A 19,172-nucleotide genomic window follows, 5' to 3' on the forward strand; every position below is an offset into this window, starting at 1 on the left:
TTCAAAAAACACAAACAAACAAAAAACATAGAATGATAAGAATAATAAGAAAGTCAGAAAAAGAGATGAAGGACAGGCAGAATCAGATGGAACAAATATAAAACAAATTGCAAGATGGTATATGTAAATCTAATCACGTCAATACTCTTTTTAAATGTGAATAAACATATCCATTAAAATACAAACATTATTTGGATAAAAAAGTAATAATCAACTATATGCTGTCTATTAGAAACTCATTTTAAGTACGAAGATCTAGCCTGGCACAGTGATGTGCACCTGTGATTCTAGCTACTTGGGAGGCTGAGGAGGGAGGATTACTTGAGCCCAGGAACTCAAGACCAGCCTGGGCAACACAGCAAGACCCCATCTCAAAAAAAGGTCTATTATATGAAAAGTAACAGGATAGCAAAATATATACTATGCAAACACGAATTATGCTGGATTATCTACATTAATTTCAGAAAAAAGTAGAATTCAGAGCAAGGGCTATTATTAGGAACAAATATTACATAATAATAAAAGGGTGAGTTTGGTTCCTTCAAACTATGAGGCAAAACTGATGATAGATCTAAAAGAAGCAATAGAACAAAAATAAAAGGAGCAATAGATAAATCTACAGGTATAGTTGGAAACTTCAACACTCCTCTCTCAGTAATTGATAGAACAAGAAGGCAGAAAATCTGTAAGAATACAGATAACATGAAGTACATTATCAACCAACTTGACCTAATTGATAACACTCCACCCAACAACAGCAGAAGAGACACTCTTTCCAAGTGCACTTGAATCATTCACCAACACAGACTGTATTCTAAGTCACAAAACAAACCTTAACAAATTTAAAAGAATATAAGCCACACAAAATATGTTCTCAAACCAGAAGGAAACTAAATAAGAAGTTGATAACAAAATGATACCTTGAAAAATTCCCAAATATTTGGAAACTAAACAGCATACTTTTTTATTTTATTTTTATTTTTATTTTTATTTTTTTTTGAGACAGGGTCTCATTCTGCTGCGCAGGCTAGGGTGCAGTGGCGCCATCATAGCTCACTGTAACCTTGAACTCCTGGGCTCAAGTGATCCACCCACTTCAGCCTCCAGAGTAGCTGGGATTACAGGTGTGTGAAACCATGCCTGGCTAATTTTTCAATTTTTTGTAGAGATGGGGGTTTCTCCATGTTACCCGGGCTGGTCTCGAACTTCTGGGCTCAAGTGATCCTCCTGCCTCGACCTCCCAAAGTACTGGGATTACAGGCAGGAACAACCGTGTCAGACCGGTTTCTGCATTTTTAAGATCTGTAAAAACCCAAAACAAAAAGACATAAAAGAATAATATGCAACAGAGACAATTGATGGTCTACATAACCTAAAACATTTACTATCTAGCCTTTTACAGAAAATATTTGGCAACTTTTGATTTAGAGGACTGATTCTCTGACAGTTGTTTGTTTTTGAGATGGAGTCTCACTCTGAAGCCCAAGCTGGAGTGCACTGGCACGATCTCAGCTCACTGCAACCTCGCTTCCTGGGTTCAAGCAATTCTCATGCCTCAGCCTGTGGAGTAGCTGGGATTACGGGATGCCCCACCCCACCCAGCTAAGCTTTGTATTTTTAGTAGAGACAGGGTTTTGCTATTTTGGCCAGGCTGGTCTCGAACTCCTGACCCAAGTGATCCGCCCGCCTCGGCCTCCCAAAGTGCTGGAATTACAGGAGTGAGTCATGGCGCCAGCCTGATTCTCTGAGAGTTTTAAAGATATTTTTACATAGTCATTGTTCTGATGAGGTTTCCTAAATTCTCTTGGGTCAGTTTGAACACTTAAATTTTTCTAAGAAACAGTCTATCTCCTTGATGCTTTCAAACTTATTTGCATAGATTTGTACATAGCACTTTCATGTAAATTAAAAATAAAAACCAATTTTCCATTATTATTCTTGGCCTAAATTTCTTTATTATTATTATTATTATTATTATTATTATACTTTAAGTTTTAGGGTACATGTGCACAATGTGCAGGTTAGTTACATATGTATACATGTGCCATGTTGGTGTGCTGCACCCATTAACTCGTCATTTAGCATTAGGTATATCTCCTAATGCTATCCCTCCCCCCTCCCCCCACCCTGCAACAGTCCCCAGAGTGTGATGTTCCCCTTCCTGTGTCCATGTGTTCTCATTGTTCAATTCCCATGTATAAGTGAGAACATGCGGTGTTTGGTTTTTTGTCCTTGCGATAGTTTACTGAGAATGATGATTTCCAGTTTCATCCATGTCCCTACAAAGGACATGAACTCATCCTTTTTTATGGCTGCATAGTATTCCATGGTGTATATGTGCCACATTTTCTTAATCCACTCTATCATTGTTGGACATTTAGGTTGGTTCCAAGTCTTTGCTATTGTGAATAGTGCCACAATAAACATACGTGTGCATGTGTCTTTATAGCAGCATGATTTATAGTCCTTTGGGTATATACCCAGTAATGGGATGGCTGGGTGAAATGGTATTTCTAGTTCTAGATCCCTGAGGAATCGCCACACTGACTTCCACAATGGTTGAACTAGTTTACAGTCCCACCAACAGTGTAAAAGTGTTTCTATTTCTCCACATCCTCTCCAGCACCTGTTGTTTCCTGACTTTTTAATGATTGCCATTCTAACTGGTGTGAGATGGTATCTCATTGTGGTTTTGATTTGCATTTCTCTGATGTTCTTGGCCTAAATTTCAATTCCATCTTTACCACTAACCAAATTTCCAAGCAATTTGGAGCAAATAATTTACCTCTTTGAAGTCTCATTTTCTTGCAAAATGGGAATAAGAATAAAACCTACCTCATAGAATTTTTGTGAAGATAAGGTACAAAAATGTACGTGCAATTAGTTTGTAAAATAGTAGAGTTCATACAGATGTTAGTTAATATTTTTAATCTGCTTAAATGCAGTCATTTCATATATGTGAACTTTTCCTTTTAATCTTGAGATGTTATCCTTGAGTGGGAAGATATGGGATCAGACCTAGTATATAAGTGCCTTAGATAATACAGTTGATTGTGAGGAGAAATGGCAGAGAATGTGCTTATGGATGCTAACAAGTGGGTACATGTGGTGGTCAATAGAAGGTCTCTTTGGATTGCTTTTATTTTCTCAGTGAAGTAGGGGGCAAAGTTTTCATCTGAAATTCAGGATTGGAGAGGAGACATTGAAGTTTTGAGGAGAAAGAAGGTATGATATAATCTTTAGGTGAGTGGGCAAGTAAATGGACTTAAGAAATTTGTGTGATCACCAGGCAGCATTAAAGGTCTATGAAGCTTTGTGGTCCCTTAAAGTGAGACCAGTCAGCAAAGTTGTATGTTTTTCTCTGATTACATTTAGCTGACGATGCAAACACGAAGTATACAGAGTGTTGGGTTTAACCAGGTCTGTATTCTTGCCAAATGAGTGCAATAAAAGCAAAAGACGGGTAAGGGAGTTGAGAATGTTGCAAAGAAACGATTGTGGTGATTGCCAGTGGAGTTTAAACTGAATAAAGAGAAAAAAGTGGACATCAGGGGGATGAAAGACAGTAAAACTGTGGCAAATCAGTGGATTGTAGGTCTCAGTAGGATCGAAGTGTAGGCGTGAGTTGGTCTTGTCTCTTTCCCTGAGCTTTTATTGCTTGCTTTTTCTTAGACCTTGTTTCACATACATTAAAGCTTTGTGCTTTTCTGAGAATCCACACATGGACAGAGGTAGGAAATGATTTGGAGGGCTGGACTGAAGAATTAACTATATTTTAAATTTGTGTAGGCTGGGAGCAGTGTCTCACACCTGTAATCCCAGCACTTTGGGAGGCCAAGACAGGAGAAGCACTTGAAGGCCTGAGTTTGAGGCTGCAGTGAGCCTCAAAAAAAAAAAATAAATAAATACACACATACATACATACATACATACATCTGCATCCAAGTAGTTCAGATATTAGTGAGTCATCTACTCATCCTAAGGGACTGCATGCAGTGTGTTAGGAACTCAGTGGCCTCTGCTGCCCTTGGTCATGCCCACTCATAGGATTCTCTGTTCCCAATCTTACTAGAGAGGAAGCTTTAAAATGATTCCCGTGTGGTTCATCTTTCCTTCCTTTTTTTTCCTTTTCCTTTTTCTTTTCTTTTTTATTTCTTTCTCTTTCTCTTTTTTCTTTTCTTTCTTGCTTTTTTTCTTTTCTTTTCTTTCTTTCTTTCTTTTTTTCTTTCTTTCTTTCTTGAGTTGCTCTGTTGCTCAGGCTGGAGGGCAGTGGACTCACTGCAGCCTCAACCTCCTGGGCTCAAGCAATCCTCCTGCCTCAGACCCCCAAGTAGCTGGGACTGCAGGCACCTGCCACCAGGCCTGGCTAATTTTTGTATTTTTTTTATGGATATGGGGTTTTGCCATGTTGCCCAGGCTGGTCTCGAACTCTTGGCTCAAGTGAGCTGCCTGTCTCAGCCTCCCAAAGTGCTGAGATTACAGGCATGAGCCACTGCACCTGTGGAATTTGTATGCTTATTCACTACATCAAAAACACCTCGTGTGGTGTTTCTTATATTAAAGTTTACCTCAAACTTTAACATGGGAAGCATGGGAAGTATTGAGTTGCTGTTGCCTACTCCTAAGGGTATCCTTTCCTTGCTATTCTTCCTCTTTCCTTGTCAGGTTCGTCCTTCTCAAGAAAGCGATGGGGGAGGGGTGGAAAGTAGGAGTGTGTAGTACAACAGACACACTGCTCTTTGCACTGTGTGTCATTTTAATGGCAACCTAACTGCGTAGGTTTTGTTTGCTTTTCAGAAGTGCACTTTTTAGATGAACTCATTCAGAACAAACATTGACCATACATTCGTCCACAGTGGCCCCATGTTCACCTTTTTTTCAGTTACAAAAAGGGAAGGCATTGCTGCCAAGAAGCAAGGTAGTGAAGGACCAGAAAAAAAGGCAGAAGGAACAACAGAAAACAGCAGGGGAAGGAACACCTCCTGTTGGCTAGCTACATACGCTCACCACTCAGTTTATCCAAGTTCCATTTCATTCCTCGGCTTCCCTCAGCCCCTTGGCCTGACTTTGCTGACAGAATAGTTTTATGTCACCTTCCAACTGCCTGACCCCAAGGCTTTCCATCTCAATTCATGGGCCTTGCTTTCTCCAATCCATCACTAGCAGTGTGGGTTGATTTTGTCTTACTCAAAAACGAAAACATTCTGGCCAGGTGCAGTGGTTCACACCTGTAATCCCAGCACTTTTGGAGGCCGAGGCAGGAGGATAACTTGAGGTCAGTAGTTCAAGACCAGCCTGGCCAACATGGTGATACCCCATCTCTGCTAAAAATACAAAAATTAGCTGGGCTTGGTGGCACGCGCCTGTAATCCCAGCTACTCAGTAGGCTGCCGCATGAGAATCACCTGAACCTGGGAGGCGGCGGTCGCAGTGAGCTGAGATAGCACCACTGCGCTCCAGCCTGGGCGACAGAGAGAGCCTCTATCTCAAAAAACACACACAAAAAAACAAAAACAAAACAAAAAAACCCCACATTCTAACAACAGACACAGAACACTTAACTTCATATTTTTATATAACTATGTGTTCTCAATTTTTACAACAAATGTAATTTTTTTAGTTTAAAATTTTATTTATTTTTAAATATTTTTATGTAAGAAAAAGTAAAAGTTCTTGTCCTACCATCTTTGTGTGGTATCTGTCTGTCTGTCTCTCACACAGGTCACTCAAGTTAATGGGAAAGAACAGGAGGCCAAATTCTGAAGTTATAAATAATAGAAAATAAAAGATCTTCTGTCTTCAGTGAGGGAATAGATGAGAGTATGGAAGGGCAAAATCGGGTGGGGAGGGGCAGCAGACATGTGTTTCTTATTTTTTTAATATTTATTTATTTATTTATTGAGATAGAGTCTTGCTCTGTTACCCGGGCTGGAGTGCAGTGGCTCGATCTCGGCTAATTGCAACCTCTGGCTCCTGAGTTTAAGCAATTCTCCTGCCTCAGCCTCCTGAGTAGCTGGGATTACAGGCACACACAACCATGTCTGGCTAATTTTTGTATTTTTAGTAGAGATGGGGTTTCCCCATGTTGGCCAAGTTGGTCTTGAAATCCTGACGTCAGATGATCCGCCCACGTCAGCCTCCCAAAGTGCTGGGATTATAGGCATGAGCCACCACACCTGGCCAAACATGTGTTTCTATTGTAAATATTAATAGCTAACATTTAACTCAGTCCTCACAACTCTATTAGGCAGCTATTGTTATCTCCATTTTACCGATGATGAAACTGAGGCATGGAGAGATTTAGTAACTTGTCCAAAATGACATGATTTACTAATGATGGAGTTTAGTTTCAAACCTACATAGTCTGGTTCCAGAGTTTGTGTGCTTATTCACTACATCAAGCTGCCTCTTTGAAAATGTAAAGATAAAAAGTAAAGAAAAATGAAAGTAAAATTGCTTCCTTGACACTCCTACTACCACCACTATTTTTCAGATAACTGTCGCCTTGCGTTTAGAGTAGGCATCAAATACCTTTCAAGCCCTGCCTTGTATTCTTTCCATCTACCACTATGTAGGCAGGTTCAACCTGACAGTACTTGCCTACACTGTGTTTTATCTCACAGAAGTCCACAGGCTTCTTCTTGCCTGTGGGAAACTGTTCTAATATTCTGAAGCATGCACAAGTCTGGAGGTGAAAGGGAATTAACACTGCACATAGTGACTCCTGACCAATGGGATACAGGAGCTGTAGAGAGACTCCTACTCTTCTGTCCCTCCAGTGGACAACTGTGAATTGCATTCTACATGGCTCCTCAGTGGGATTGACCCCCAGGTGCCCAGCTGGAAATATATTCTTTTAATGACTTTCCTTCCTTTTCTGCTTCAGACTTTCATGTTCTGCACTCCTGTTACATGGGATGACTTCCCAATATCAACACCAACATGAAAGTCCTTGTCTCAGGCTCTGCCTTCTGGAGGAAATCCAGGAATAGACAGACAACTGCAGCAATAAGATACATTTTGCTTTATTGTTGGCATTTTACTTTCTCATGTATTTTCTCTTTCAAGCCCCCAAAAATTCCTTTGAATTAAGTTAGTACTGATATATTCCCATTTTTTAAAAATAGAGACAGAGTCTCAGCTCACTGCAACCTCCACCTCCTGGGTTCAAGCAATTTTCCTGTCTCAGTCTCCTGAGTAGCTGGGATTACAGGCGCCTGGCACCACGCCTGGCTGATTTTTGTATTTTTAGTAGAGACGGGGTTTTACCATGTTGGCCAAGCCATGTTGGCCTGACCTCAAGTGATCCACCCGCCTCAGCCTCCCAAAGTGGTGGGATTATAGGCGTGAGCCACCTCGCCCGGCCTGATATATCCTTCCCTGCCCCCCAACCTTTTTTTTTTTTTTTGAGACGGAGTCTCACTCTGTTGCCCCAGGTTAGAGTGCAGTGGCACAATCTTGGCTCACCACAACCTCTGCCTCCCAAGTTCAAGTGATTCTCCTGCCTCAGTCTCCCAAGTAGTTGGGATTACAGGTGCCTGCCACCAAGCCTGGCTCATTTATTTTTATTTTTTGTATTTTTACTAGAGACAGGGTTTCGCTATGTTGGCCAGGCAGGTCTCAAACTCCAGACCTCAAGTGATCCGCCCACCTTGGCCTCCCCAAATGCTGAGATTACAGGTGTGAGCCACCGTGCCCAGCCTATATCCCCATTTTTAATGAAGAGATTCATATTGCTTTTTACAATATATGTGATGACTGGTTTTTTTTTTACATTTTTAATTTAATTTAATTTTTTTTGAGACAGAGTCTTGCTCTGTCACTCAGGCTGGAGTACAGTGCCATGATCTCAGCTCACTGCAACCTCTGCCTCCTGGGTTCAAATGATTCTCATGCCTCACCCTCCCAAGTAGCTGGGACTACAGGCATGCACCACCACACCTGGCTAATTTTTGTATTTTTAGTAGAGATGGGATTTCACCTTGTTGGCCAGGCTGATGTCAAACTCCTGGCCTCAAGTGATCTGCCTGCCTTGGCCTCCCAAATTGCTGGTATGAGTGAGCCACCATTCCTGTCCTTCTTTTTGTTTCTTTTTCTTTTCTTTTCTTTTCTTCTTAATTCACAGAACGTGAAAAGGGCATCCTTAGCACTTGGACTTTTGTTCTCATCTTTTTCTTCTTTTGGTGGCAAGATGGTTGTTGCATTCTTGCATCTCCAGATATCATGTCTATATTCAGGACAAGAAGATTGAGAGGAGTAAGCCATGCAAGCTGAGTGTGTGTCCTCTATTTAATAAAATAATTGCTTTCTCAGAAACCTGCCCATGTACAGGTCTGTTAAAGAATAAGGGGGACATGGATATTGGTAGGAAAATTCAATTCTTGTGTGTTCATTAGTCCTTCTATTTACATAATATTTATTACATAAATAGTATTTTTATAAGCTGCTTTTCTTTTTTAATGTACCACTCACATATATCTTAGTCCATTTAGTGTTGTTATAACAGAATACCCGAGACCAGGTAGTTTATAAAGAAAAGAGGTTTATTTGGCTCATGATTCTGGTGACTGGAAAGTTCAAGATTGAGCTTCTGCATCAGATGAGGGCCTCAGGCTGCTTCAACTCACTGTGGAAAGCAGAAGGAAAGCCAGTGTGTGTAAAGAGATCACATGACAAAAAAGGAAGCAAGGGTGGGGAGGTGACAGGCTCTTTTTAACAGCCAGCTCTTGTGAGAATTAACAGAGTAATAACTCAAGCGCCCCAAGAGAGGGTATTAATCTACTCATGAGGAATCCACTGCCATGACCCAAACACCTCCCACCAGGTCCTATCTCCCAACATTGTCACATTGGGGATTAAATTTCATTTTTTTTCTTTTCTTTTCTTTTTTTTTTTTTTTTTTTTTTTTTGAGACAGAGTCTCACTGTGTGGCTCATGTGGCTCAGGCCTGTAATCCTAGCATTTTGGGAGGCTGAGGTGGACGGATTGCCTGAGGTCAGGAGTTCGAGACCAACCTGGGCAACATGGCAAATCCCTGTCTCTACTAAAAATACAAAAAATTAGCCGGGTGCGGTGGCATGTGCCTGTAGTCCCAGCTACTCAGGAGGCTGAGGCAGGAGGATTTCTTGAACCCAGGAGTTTGAAGCTGCAGTGAGCAGAGATCGTACTACTGCCCTCCAGCCTGGGTGACAGAGTGAGACTCCATCTCAAAAATACATAATAAAAAAAAGAAAGCAAATGTTAACTACTCTACTGAAAATGTTCATGATTTGAAAGAGAGTAATTTATGTGGGCATACACAATGACAAATGTTGCTAGATATACTTGTAATTGAAAAAATAGGCCTGGTGTGGTGGCTCACGCCTGTAATCCCAGCACTTTGGGAGGTTGAGGCAGGTGGATCACCTAAGGTCAGGAGTTCGAGACCAGCCTGGCCAACATGGGGAAACTCCATCTCTACTAAAAATACAAAAATCAGCTGGGTGTGGTGGTGGGTGTCTGTAATCCCAGCTACTCAGGAGGCTGAGACAGGAGAATCGCTTGAGCTCGGGTGGCAGAAGTTGCAGTGGCTGAGATTGTGCCATTGCACTCCAGCCTGGGTGACAGATCGAGACTCCATCTCAAGAAAAAAAAGAGTTCAACCATTGTGGAAGACAGTGTGGTGATTCCTCAAGGATCTAGGACTAGAAATACCACTTGACCCAGCCATCCCATTACTGGGTATATACCCAAAGGATTATAAATCATGCTGCTATAAAGACACATGCAGCATATGTTTTTCGCGGCACTATTCACAATAGCAAAGACTTGGAACCAACCCAAATATCCATCAATGATAGATTGGATTAAGAAAATGTGGCACATATACACCATGGAATACTATGCAGCCATAAAAAATGATGAGTTCATGTCCTTTGTAGGGACATGGATGAAGCTGGAAACCATCATTCTCAGCAAACTATCACAAGGACAAAAGACCAAACACTGCATGTTCTCACTCATAGGTGGGAATTGAAAAATGAGAACACTTGGACACAGGAAGGGGAACATCACACACTGGGGTCTGTTGTGGGGTGGGGGTAGTAGGGAGGGATAGCATTAGGAGGTATACCTAATGTAAATGACGAGTTAGTGGGTGTAGTACACCAACATGGCACATGTATACATATGTAACAAACCTGCACGTTGTGCACATGTACCCTAGAACTTAAGTACAATAAAATAAATAAATAAATAAAAGAAAAAAAAAGAAAAAGAAAAAAATATTATGGCAATTCCTATTCTGTGAATTTGTTTATATGTTTCACATTGTTTTACCTTTAGAGGTACTTTGGAGTTTTTGTGAATTGCCTAATCCAAAAATATAGGGCACTCTGCTTCATCTCGTAATTATCTCCTACCCTGTTTGTTAGCTGAAAAGGCACCCAGGGAACCTGAATACTGACTGCATCCCCAATCACTTTATAACCTAACCTCCTCCTAGCCCAGTGGCGACGCAATCTTTAGTCAGGGTGCTGAGAAAGCCCAGAGATGAGGTACATGGTAGGAGGTTAGGGAGATTGGTTAGGGAAATCTTCAGTGAAGTGAGAAAGGACTAGGGAATGGGGTAAGGGTAGGGAATTGGGTTGGGCCAAGGCAGGAATGGAGAAGGGAAAGAGGTAGAGGTAAATAGAGAGGTTAGGGAAGGATCTGTCAGTAATTTTTTGAGATTGAAGAGAAGCTATGGTTACACTAGGAAGGGTTAAGTGCACAGAGAAATGCTATACTTATACAGAGAAGTGCTATACTTTGGAAAAGGCAAGTGCCAAGAAAAGAAAATGCTGAAAGTGGGAAACACATGTGGAGTTTTGTAGGGCTGTACGGTTGCTTGTGTGTTGGAGACTGAGGTTTAAGCTAGTGTTAATGGGTGAGAGTATTCAGTGGGACCAATGGCCTCAGGGAGAATGGAGCTGGCCTTTGTCCCAAGAGGAGGAAGAATCTAAAGACATTTTCAGGCACTTCCAGAACAGTGCTAAATAACAGTGGGGATAAAAGGTATTCTTGCCTTGTTCCTGGATTTAATGGGAATACCAGGTATATCATGATGTTGGTTTTCGTTTGAGACAGATATTCTTTGTCATATTAAGTTGTCAGATTTTATTTGCTAACAGTTTGTTTAAGGTGTTTGTGTGTATGTATGTATGTGTGTGTGTGTGTATATATATATTTTTTTTTTAAGTTTTTTTTTGAGACAGGGTCTTGCTCTGTTGCCCAGGCTGGAGTGCAGTGGCATGACTATAGCTTATTGCAGCCTTGCCTCCCTGGTTCAAGTGATCCTCCCACCTCAGCCTCCCAAGTAGCTGAGACCACAGGTGTGTGCCACCACTCTTGGCTAATTTTTTTTTGTTTGTTTGTTTGAGAGATGGAGTCTCGCTCTGTCACCAGGCTGGAGTGCAGTGGCATGATCTCGGGTCACTGCAACCTCCGCCTCCTGGGTTCAAGCAATTCTTCTGCCTCAGCCTCCCGAATAGCTGGGACTACATGGCGCACCCCGGCATGCCCGGCTAATTTTTTTTTTTTTTTTTGGTATTTTAGTAGAGACAGGGTTTCACCTGTTGCCCAGGCTGGTCTCATACTCCTGAGCTCAGGCGATCTGCCTGCCTCGGCCTCCCAAAGTGCTGGGATTACAGGCATGAGCCACCGCACCTGGCCTCTCAGCAAATTTTTATTTTTATTTTTTTGTAGAGACAGGAGACCCTATGTTTATTAACATCCTATTAACCTATGTTGCCCAGGCTAATCTCGAACTCCTCTCTTGGATTCCCAAAGTGCTGGGATTATAGGTGTGAGCCATAATCTAACCATGCCTGGCCTGTAGATATATATTTACATGCAAGATGACACAGTTTTCTTTTTAGTACTATCTTTTTCAGGTGTGGTACCATGTTTATGCTAGGTCCCTGGAATAAATTTGTAAACTTTGCCTTTTCTTCTCTCTTGAACAATTTATATAGTGTAGGAATTATGTGCTCTGTGAAGGCTTGAATGAATAGCCTATGAAACCATCTGGGCCCAGCACTTTGAGGGTAGGAGAAGAGGGGAGATATTTGGCAACTTTTAAAAAACTAATACATGTATATGTTTAAAATTTCAAACTGCTTCACATACAATGAATAGTCTTCACTTGCAAGTCAATCCACCCCTATTGCCAGTTTCTCTCCCCACAGGCAACCAGTTACCGGCTTTTTGTGTAGCCTTCCGGACACAGTCTGTGAATATTCAAGTACAATGTATGGATATCTATCCATTGCCCTTACATTTTTACTCAGTTGATAGCATACCATACAAACTGTCTTCATCTTACTTTTTATGTATTTATTTATTTATTTATTTATTTTTGTGGAGATGGATTCTTGCTCTGTCACCCAGGCTGGAGTGCAGTAGCGTGATCTCGGCTCACTGCAATCTCCTCCTCCAGAATTCAAGAGATTCTCGTGTCTCAGCCTCTCGAGTATCTGGGACTACAGGCACGCACCACCACACCAGGCTAATTTTTGTATTTTTAGTAGAGACGGGGTTTTGCCATGTTGCCCAGGCTGGTCTCGAACTCCTGAGTTCAGGCAATCTGCCCACCTCGGTCTCCCAAAGTGCTAAGATTACAGGCGTGAGCCACCGCGCCCAGCCAGCTTTTAACATGTGTTTTAAATTTTTCCTTTCAAAATTTTGTTTTAATGAAATTCCCCACTTTGTTTTGAGTCAATTCTGATCATTTTTCTGGGAAATTATTTCCTTAATATTTCCTGGTTATTTTCATAGAGTTGTATGTTATAGTGTCCTGAAATACAGATTAGCCAACAAAGTTCTTCATACCTATTGACTTAAATATTAATTCCACTTCTACCACTTACAAAGGTTCTAAGTAACTTTGGACAAGTCATGCAAGTCCTGCTGTATTGTAAATATCCATGATCTGGCAAACAGTAATGACTGTAGGTGTATTAAAGAACTCTGAGTTAGTCTGGCAATTTTTTGAGATACACTTGCAACTAAAAACATAGAATAATTCCTAGTTTTGGGAGCTTGTTCCTGTGCAGCCCCTTCCTTCACAACCTTCCTTCCTGATTTTCTTTCTACAAAGCATATTGTCTCACACCCAACCAGTACCCTATTAGTTAAATGGGGAGAACAGGCATTGGTAGTCTGAAATAATGCCCAACTAACCTGAGCACTGCCTGCCTCAATTGTCCTATGGCCCGTCCTCTTTTTTTTTTTTTTTTAAGACGGAGTCTCGCTCTTTCGCCCAGGCTGGAGTGCAGTGGCGCGATCTCGGCTCACTGCAAGCTCCGCCTTCCGGGTTCATGCCATTCTCCTGCCTCACCCTCCGAGTAGCTGGGACTACAGGCGCCCGCCACCACGCCCAGCTAATTTTTTGTATTTTTAGTAGAGACGGGGTTTCACCGTGTTAGCCAGGATGGTCTCGATCTCCTGACCTCTTGATCCGCCCGCCTCGGCCTCCCAAAGTGCTGGGATTACAGGCGTGAGCCACCGCGCCCGGCCGGCCTGTCCTCCTCTTAACCTATCACCAAGGCTACCTTGAAATAAGTGGCCAAGAGGGCCAATAGATGAGGTTAGAAGGGGTAGAAGCGAGGGGCTTGTGGCTAGGGAGAAATAGCTAATTTTGGAGGTTGGCAAGGAAATAGCAGACGTTATCAATGGCCTCAGGGAAGTGGGACGGGAGGTAGTGATCTGGTAATCATGGGGTGGGAGGATGAGGTGAGAAGCTCAGGCTGGGGTTGGGACATTTGTACATGATATTCCCTTGCAATTGCAAAAAGATTTCATGTCTACTGGCTTAAATTTTAATATCACTTCCACCAGTATTTGTGCAAGTACTAAAATTGTGCTTGGTCTGAAGGGGAATTATCGTAAACAAAACAAAACAACAAACACCAAAAAAAAAAAAAAAAAACACCTCCATTCGTTTGGAATTTTGTCCCTCCACATTCCACATTCTTCCTCCTTAAATTTACTACTTGGATTGCCTATCCAAAAATATAAAACACTTTTATTTCACAGCCATCCCCTGCCTTGTTGGTTAAATGCTTAACACCACCAAAGGGCACCCAGGTATCCTGGATGCTGATGCTGTCAACAATGGCTGCCCTGTCTGACTACATTTTAGCCTGGGGCCAACGTAAACTGGGACCAGAAATACCTTGAAAGCCCAAAAGGATGAGATAAGGAAAACAGGTTGGGACATGAAGATTATCTTTTAAGTTATTGTCACAATAGTTACTCTCTTTTAGACCCTGAACATTTTCAGTACTTGCTCCAAATGGTTTAGCAACTTTTGAAGTGGGATTAACAAGTTTGGCCAATGAAGCTTCTTCCCTGCCCACCGCCAGAGGTGCTGGAGAAAAGTAATCCTGGAGGGTCGGCGTGGAGGCAGTAGAGAGGTTTATAAAAGTCAAGGAAGTGGGAAGAGGCTTGCGAGCAGCAGGAGAGGCGCAGAGTCAGAGGGGCAGGGGCGGCGGCGGAGGGAGCAGGAGGTTGGGGCTTGAGCCCGTCATTCCGGCGCACGAAAACTTGAAGTCGCTCGGTAGCCGGGGAAGGGAAGGAAGAGAGGCAGGCTCTTTCCTAGAGGTGCCGTGATCGAGGGTCTGGCACTCCAAGCCAACTCCTGAGAACGGGAAATGGGCGGGAGTCGGTGGGGTGGAGAGGGCAGCCGTGGTCGCGAGAGCGAAGGAGCGGTCTGAGAATCCGGCTTGAGTGTTAAAGGCTAAGCGTGTCTAGCTGGACCCGTGGCCCCGAAGAAGCGAGACAAGGCGACGCGGAGCTGTCCCTGACACCCCGAGGACCGAGGGACAGCGAAGGGCCGGGGCCGCCGGCCATTGCCAGGCGCCATTAGGTGACGCGGCCGTCACGCGATGACGCGCTGACCGGCAGTGGCCTCCACGTCGCAGGTTCCGCAAAGACCTGTGGGAGCGACCCGGGAGAAGGAGGGCCAAGATGGCGGAAGCGGAGGAGTCTCCAGGAGACCCGGGGACAGCATCGCCCAGGCCCCTGGTGAGCTTGGGATCTGCGACAAAAGGGACCGAGGGTGAGGCAGAGTGCCCCCTAAAGAAGTCGGGGGACGGGCTCGTGGCCTGAGAGCCGGAGCTCCTTCCGCCCGGCAGGCCCTTCTTGTACCCGATGCCAGAACCAGTCCCAACACTGCACCTGTTCTTTGCGCTAACCGCTTTGCCCCCTGCCCTCGTGGTTCCTTCCAGGTCTTTTTGTGAAACTCCGATCTTTCCTTTCCCATCCTCCCAGGTCTCGTCATCGTCCCCTACATTGTGTTAAATGGCGAACTTTAGGTGATTTCTTAAGTTATCTTTTCTTCTGCTGTCCCCTCATTTTATCAAAACCTGTCACCAGCCTTTGTTGAAGGAATAATGAGAGATTGCTTCCCGTGGGACATTAACGTTTTGTTGCTTATAACTTTAGTATTGACTTGTTCAGTGACCCCAGTAGGCCAGGTTTAACCCCTGTCGCAGCTCCTTGCCATTCTCTTCACCATACTTGTTCTCCTTTCTTATTTTTTACTTTTTTAAAAATCGAGACAAGGTCTCACTCTGTCACCCAGGCTGGAGGGCAGTGGCGCGGTCTCTGCTCACTGCAACCTCTGCCTCCCAGGCTCACGTGATCCTCCCACCTCAGCCTCCCTAGTAGCTAGGACCACAGGTGCGTGTCACCACACCAGGCTAATTTTTAGTATTTTTTTGTAGAGACGGGGTTTTACCATGTTGCCCAGGCTGGTCTCGAATTCCTGGGCTCAAGCTATCCTCCTGCCTCGGCCTTCCAAAGTGTTGGGATTACAGGCGTGAGCCACTGTGCCCGGCCATCTTCACTATACTCTCTTGCTCCTGTCTCTGCAAGGGATAGAATTTCCACTGCAAGCCCAAAGTGTGGACAAGTATTTTAAGAACACAGGCTTTGGAGTTAAACTTTACTTGGGATGGAATCCACCCACTTTGTGAGTTTCGGCAAGTCATTTTAGGGAGGGTGTTTCTTCATCTGTAAAATGGAGATAAAAATACCTGCCTCAAAACAGTTTTTAGAAAGATCAAATGGCATAATTTATGTAACGTGTCTAATACTATCAGTACCATGAACTGAGGAGTATAATGAGGTCAATATTCTGCTCCTGTCCCTCTTCTCAATGTGTTTAGTTATATAGTAGTTGCTCAGTAAATGGTTCTTCCCTTTCCTCTTTTTTTTTCTTTTTCTTTTTTTGAGACGGAGTTTTGCTCTTGTCACCCAGGTTGGAGCACAATGGCACAATCTCAGCTCACTGCAACCTCCACCTCTGGGGTTTAAGTGATTCTCCTGCCTCAGCCTCCTGAGTAGCTGGGATTACAGGCGCCTGCCACTACGTCCAGCTAATTTTTGTATTTTTGTAGAGACGGGCTTTCACCACGTTGGCCAGGCTAGTCTCGAACTCCTGACGTCAGGTGATCTGCCCGCCTCGGCCTCCCAAAGTGCTGGGACACAGGTGTGAGCCACCGTGCCTGGCCCCCTTTCCTCTGTTTTGAATTAGCAACTTAACATAGTGAACTGAGCTGGGAGATCAGTGAACTTAATTCTAGTCCTAGCTCTGCTGCTTACTAGCTCCATTTGTTCACCTCTTCACTCACTCAACAAATATTTATTGAGCATCCGCTACTATGTTCCAGGCACTCCTTTAGGCACTGGGGATATGGCAATAAGAGTGAGTTGTGTTAAGTTCTATCGTGACCTTGAGTAAAATCAGGCTGAACCCCAGTTTCCTCCTTTGGAAAATGGTGATAGGAACACATCACTGAATTAGTGAGAGTACTAAATGAGATAATATATACATTGTGCCTACTGTGACATTGTCATAGGTGCTTAGTAGTTTTTAGTTTCTTTCATTTAAACTTCTCCACCCCTCTTCTGTGAAGCTTTCCCCAGTTAACTTCAGTGGTTCTGATCACTCATTACTCAATATGCAATCCGCTTCCATTCAACAAATGTTTAGTGAACTCCCACAATGAGTAATGCACTGTGCTAGTTGCTGTAGGGAATGCAAAGGGCCTGCCTCTATGGTGCTACCAGTCTTAAGTTTTAGGGATAAGACAAGTATACAATGCTAAAATAAGGCAGTATGTAAGAGAAAGTTACACAAAGAATATTACAGAAATTTAAAGGAAAATGCTATCATGTCCAGTTGGGGTGACCAAGCTACATGGTGGAAGTTATATTTGAAAGGACTTCAAAGGATGGGTAGGATTTGAAATTGCAAGTGAGTATAAGAGCTATCAATAACTGAGCACCTGCTACATGCCAGGTATTGTGCTAGACATCCTCTGCGTATTTGCTACTAAACTTTACAGCAATCATTTCAGTTAGGTGGCTTTTAACTACATTTTATGTGCAGATGAGGATATGACATGCAGGGAGGTTTGATGATTTCCCTAGGGTCTACATCCAGTTAGTGCCATGCATGAAATTTGAACCTAGATCTGACTCTGAAGCCCAGACTTATATATCCATTTATATATAAGTGGATATATCCATTCATATATATATAGAAGCGCAGACTTATATATATCCATTTGTGCTACACAGCCTCTTGTGAACAAAGGCACAGAAGTTGGAAGGTGCTAGTATATTTATAGAACAACACTTTGGCTGAAGCACAGAGAATTATTAGGAGATAAGCCTTCAGAGGTAAGCCTACTGAGTTAGGGAGGCAGTATGGAACAGTGGTGGTTTGGAATGTGTACTCTGGAGTCAGCTTGCTTAGGTTTGATTCTAAGCACTGTCACTTAACTAGTGGGATATTGGGGAAATTACCAAACCCCTCCTTGCCTCAGTTTCCCCATCTGTAAAATAGAGATATAACAATACTTAGTTCATAGGGTTATTAGGTGGAATGAGTTAACACATTGGATAAATTAACACACTTAATAGAATGCCTGGCATATAATAATGCAATGTGTTATTTCTTATTATTGGCTACTAACCTGGGAGGCTTAATGGGCTACAAAGAGCCAGTGGAAATTTTTGAGGAGGGAAGAATTTGAAATCATGAATTGGACAACATAATAGAGGGTAAGTTACAGTGGGGGAATATCTGGAATCTAGAGGGCCAGTGAAGCTGTTACAGTAGTTCTGAGAAGAAATGATAAGGATCTGGACAACAGCAGTGGCAGGAGACAAGAGGATTTGAGACAAGGCAGAATCCACGAGGGTTTGTAGCGTGTGAAGGAGGATTTGTCTTAGATCAGTATTTTCCAAACTTTAGTGTGCTAGCAGTCATCTGGGGAATCTTGTTAATTTGCAGGTTCTGATTCAGTTGGTCTGGGATAGGGCCCGAGATTTTGCATTTCTTACAGACTCCCTGGAGATGCTGCTGCTGCTGCTCCCAGTACCACATTTTGAAGAGCATGGCTATAGACACCCAAGAGTATAGTGACACTCTGAACAAAAATAGATAATATATAAGGAGGGTTAGCTGGATGAGGGCCTTAAAAGTTGACTAATTCAGTTTGGGACATGTTTAGTTTGAGATACTGGCAGGCCATTCAATAGATATCCAACAGGCAGTTGGACTTTAAAACATGCACTTCAGGGCGCAGAAGAGGTCTTGCCTAGAGTTGTTGATTTAGGAGTCATCTGCACAGGGTTAAAAAGACAGAATCTTGGGTAATGCCTGTATTTAGGGGGCAGGAAGAAGAGATAGGCTGTAATAATGGCTGCAGTCTGGGGTCTTTTTTTTTTTTTTGAGCCGGAGTTTTGCTCTTGTTGCCCAGGGTTGGAGTGCAATGGTGCCACCTCGGCTCACTGCAACCTCTGCCTCCCAGGTTCAAGTGATTCTCCTGCCTCAGCCTCCCCAAGTAGCTGGGATCACAGGCATGCACCACCATGTGCAGCAAATTTTTGTATTTTTAGTAGAGACAGGGTTTCACAGTGTTGGCCAGGCTGGTCTTGAACTATAGTCTGGGATCTTTGGAAGATCTCAGGCTATGAGGAAGCTGGCCCCAGGTGAAGGGGCTGGCTGGAGACCATGCCACTGGCTACCCCGTCATCCACTCCTGGGAGCCAGGCCTCTTTGAGCTGATTCCTGCTTCATGCTTCCCCGTGTTGATTCCTTTTTCCAGGATTTTGGTCAATAGTATAACCCATTTGCT

The 19,172-nt window shown here is 43.1% G+C and overlaps 1 protein-coding gene across 2 annotated transcripts in view, besides 3 other annotated features; it reads left to right on the plus strand.

The window, feature by feature from the left end:
• Positions 14,139-14,813: an enhancer, noted in NCBI's record as "H3K27ac hESC enhancer chrX:67718059-67718733 (GRCh37/hg19 assembly coordinates)". NCBI's record gives its function as "activates a minimal SCP1, AML or CMV promoter by ChIP-STARR-seq in primed H9 embryonic stem cells {active_cell/tissue: H9 hESC(primed)}" and the evidence as "EXISTENCE:reporter gene assay evidence [ECO:0000049][PMID:30033119]".
• Positions 14,139-15,091: a biological region, named in NCBI's record as "H3K27ac hESC enhancer GRCh37_chrX:67718059-67718733".
• Positions 14,612-15,091: an enhancer, noted in NCBI's record as "active region_29725". NCBI's record gives its function as "activates an Ori minimal core promoter by ATAC-STARR-seq in GM12878 lymphoblastoid cells {active_cell/tissue: GM12878}" and the evidence as "EXISTENCE:reporter gene assay evidence [ECO:0000049][PMID:35858748]".
• The window catches only part of YIPF6 (Yip1 domain family member 6), a 38,232-nt gene continuing 34,032 nt past the window's right edge, over positions 14,973-19,172 (plus strand). For both annotated transcript variants that reach the window (NM_173834.4, NM_001195214.2), the window contains exon 1: positions 14,973-15,045. In NM_173834.4, coding sequence (NP_776195.2) covers positions 14,989-15,045 — 57 coding nt within the window. In that variant the 5' untranslated portion in view covers positions 14,973-14,988. The remainder of the gene's footprint in view (positions 15,046-19,172) is intronic.

This window comes from Homo sapiens, chromosome X, assembly GCF_000001405.40.
Source record: "Homo sapiens chromosome X, GRCh38.p14 Primary Assembly".
Lineage (NCBI taxonomy): Eukaryota > Metazoa > Chordata > Mammalia > Primates > Hominidae > Homo > Homo sapiens.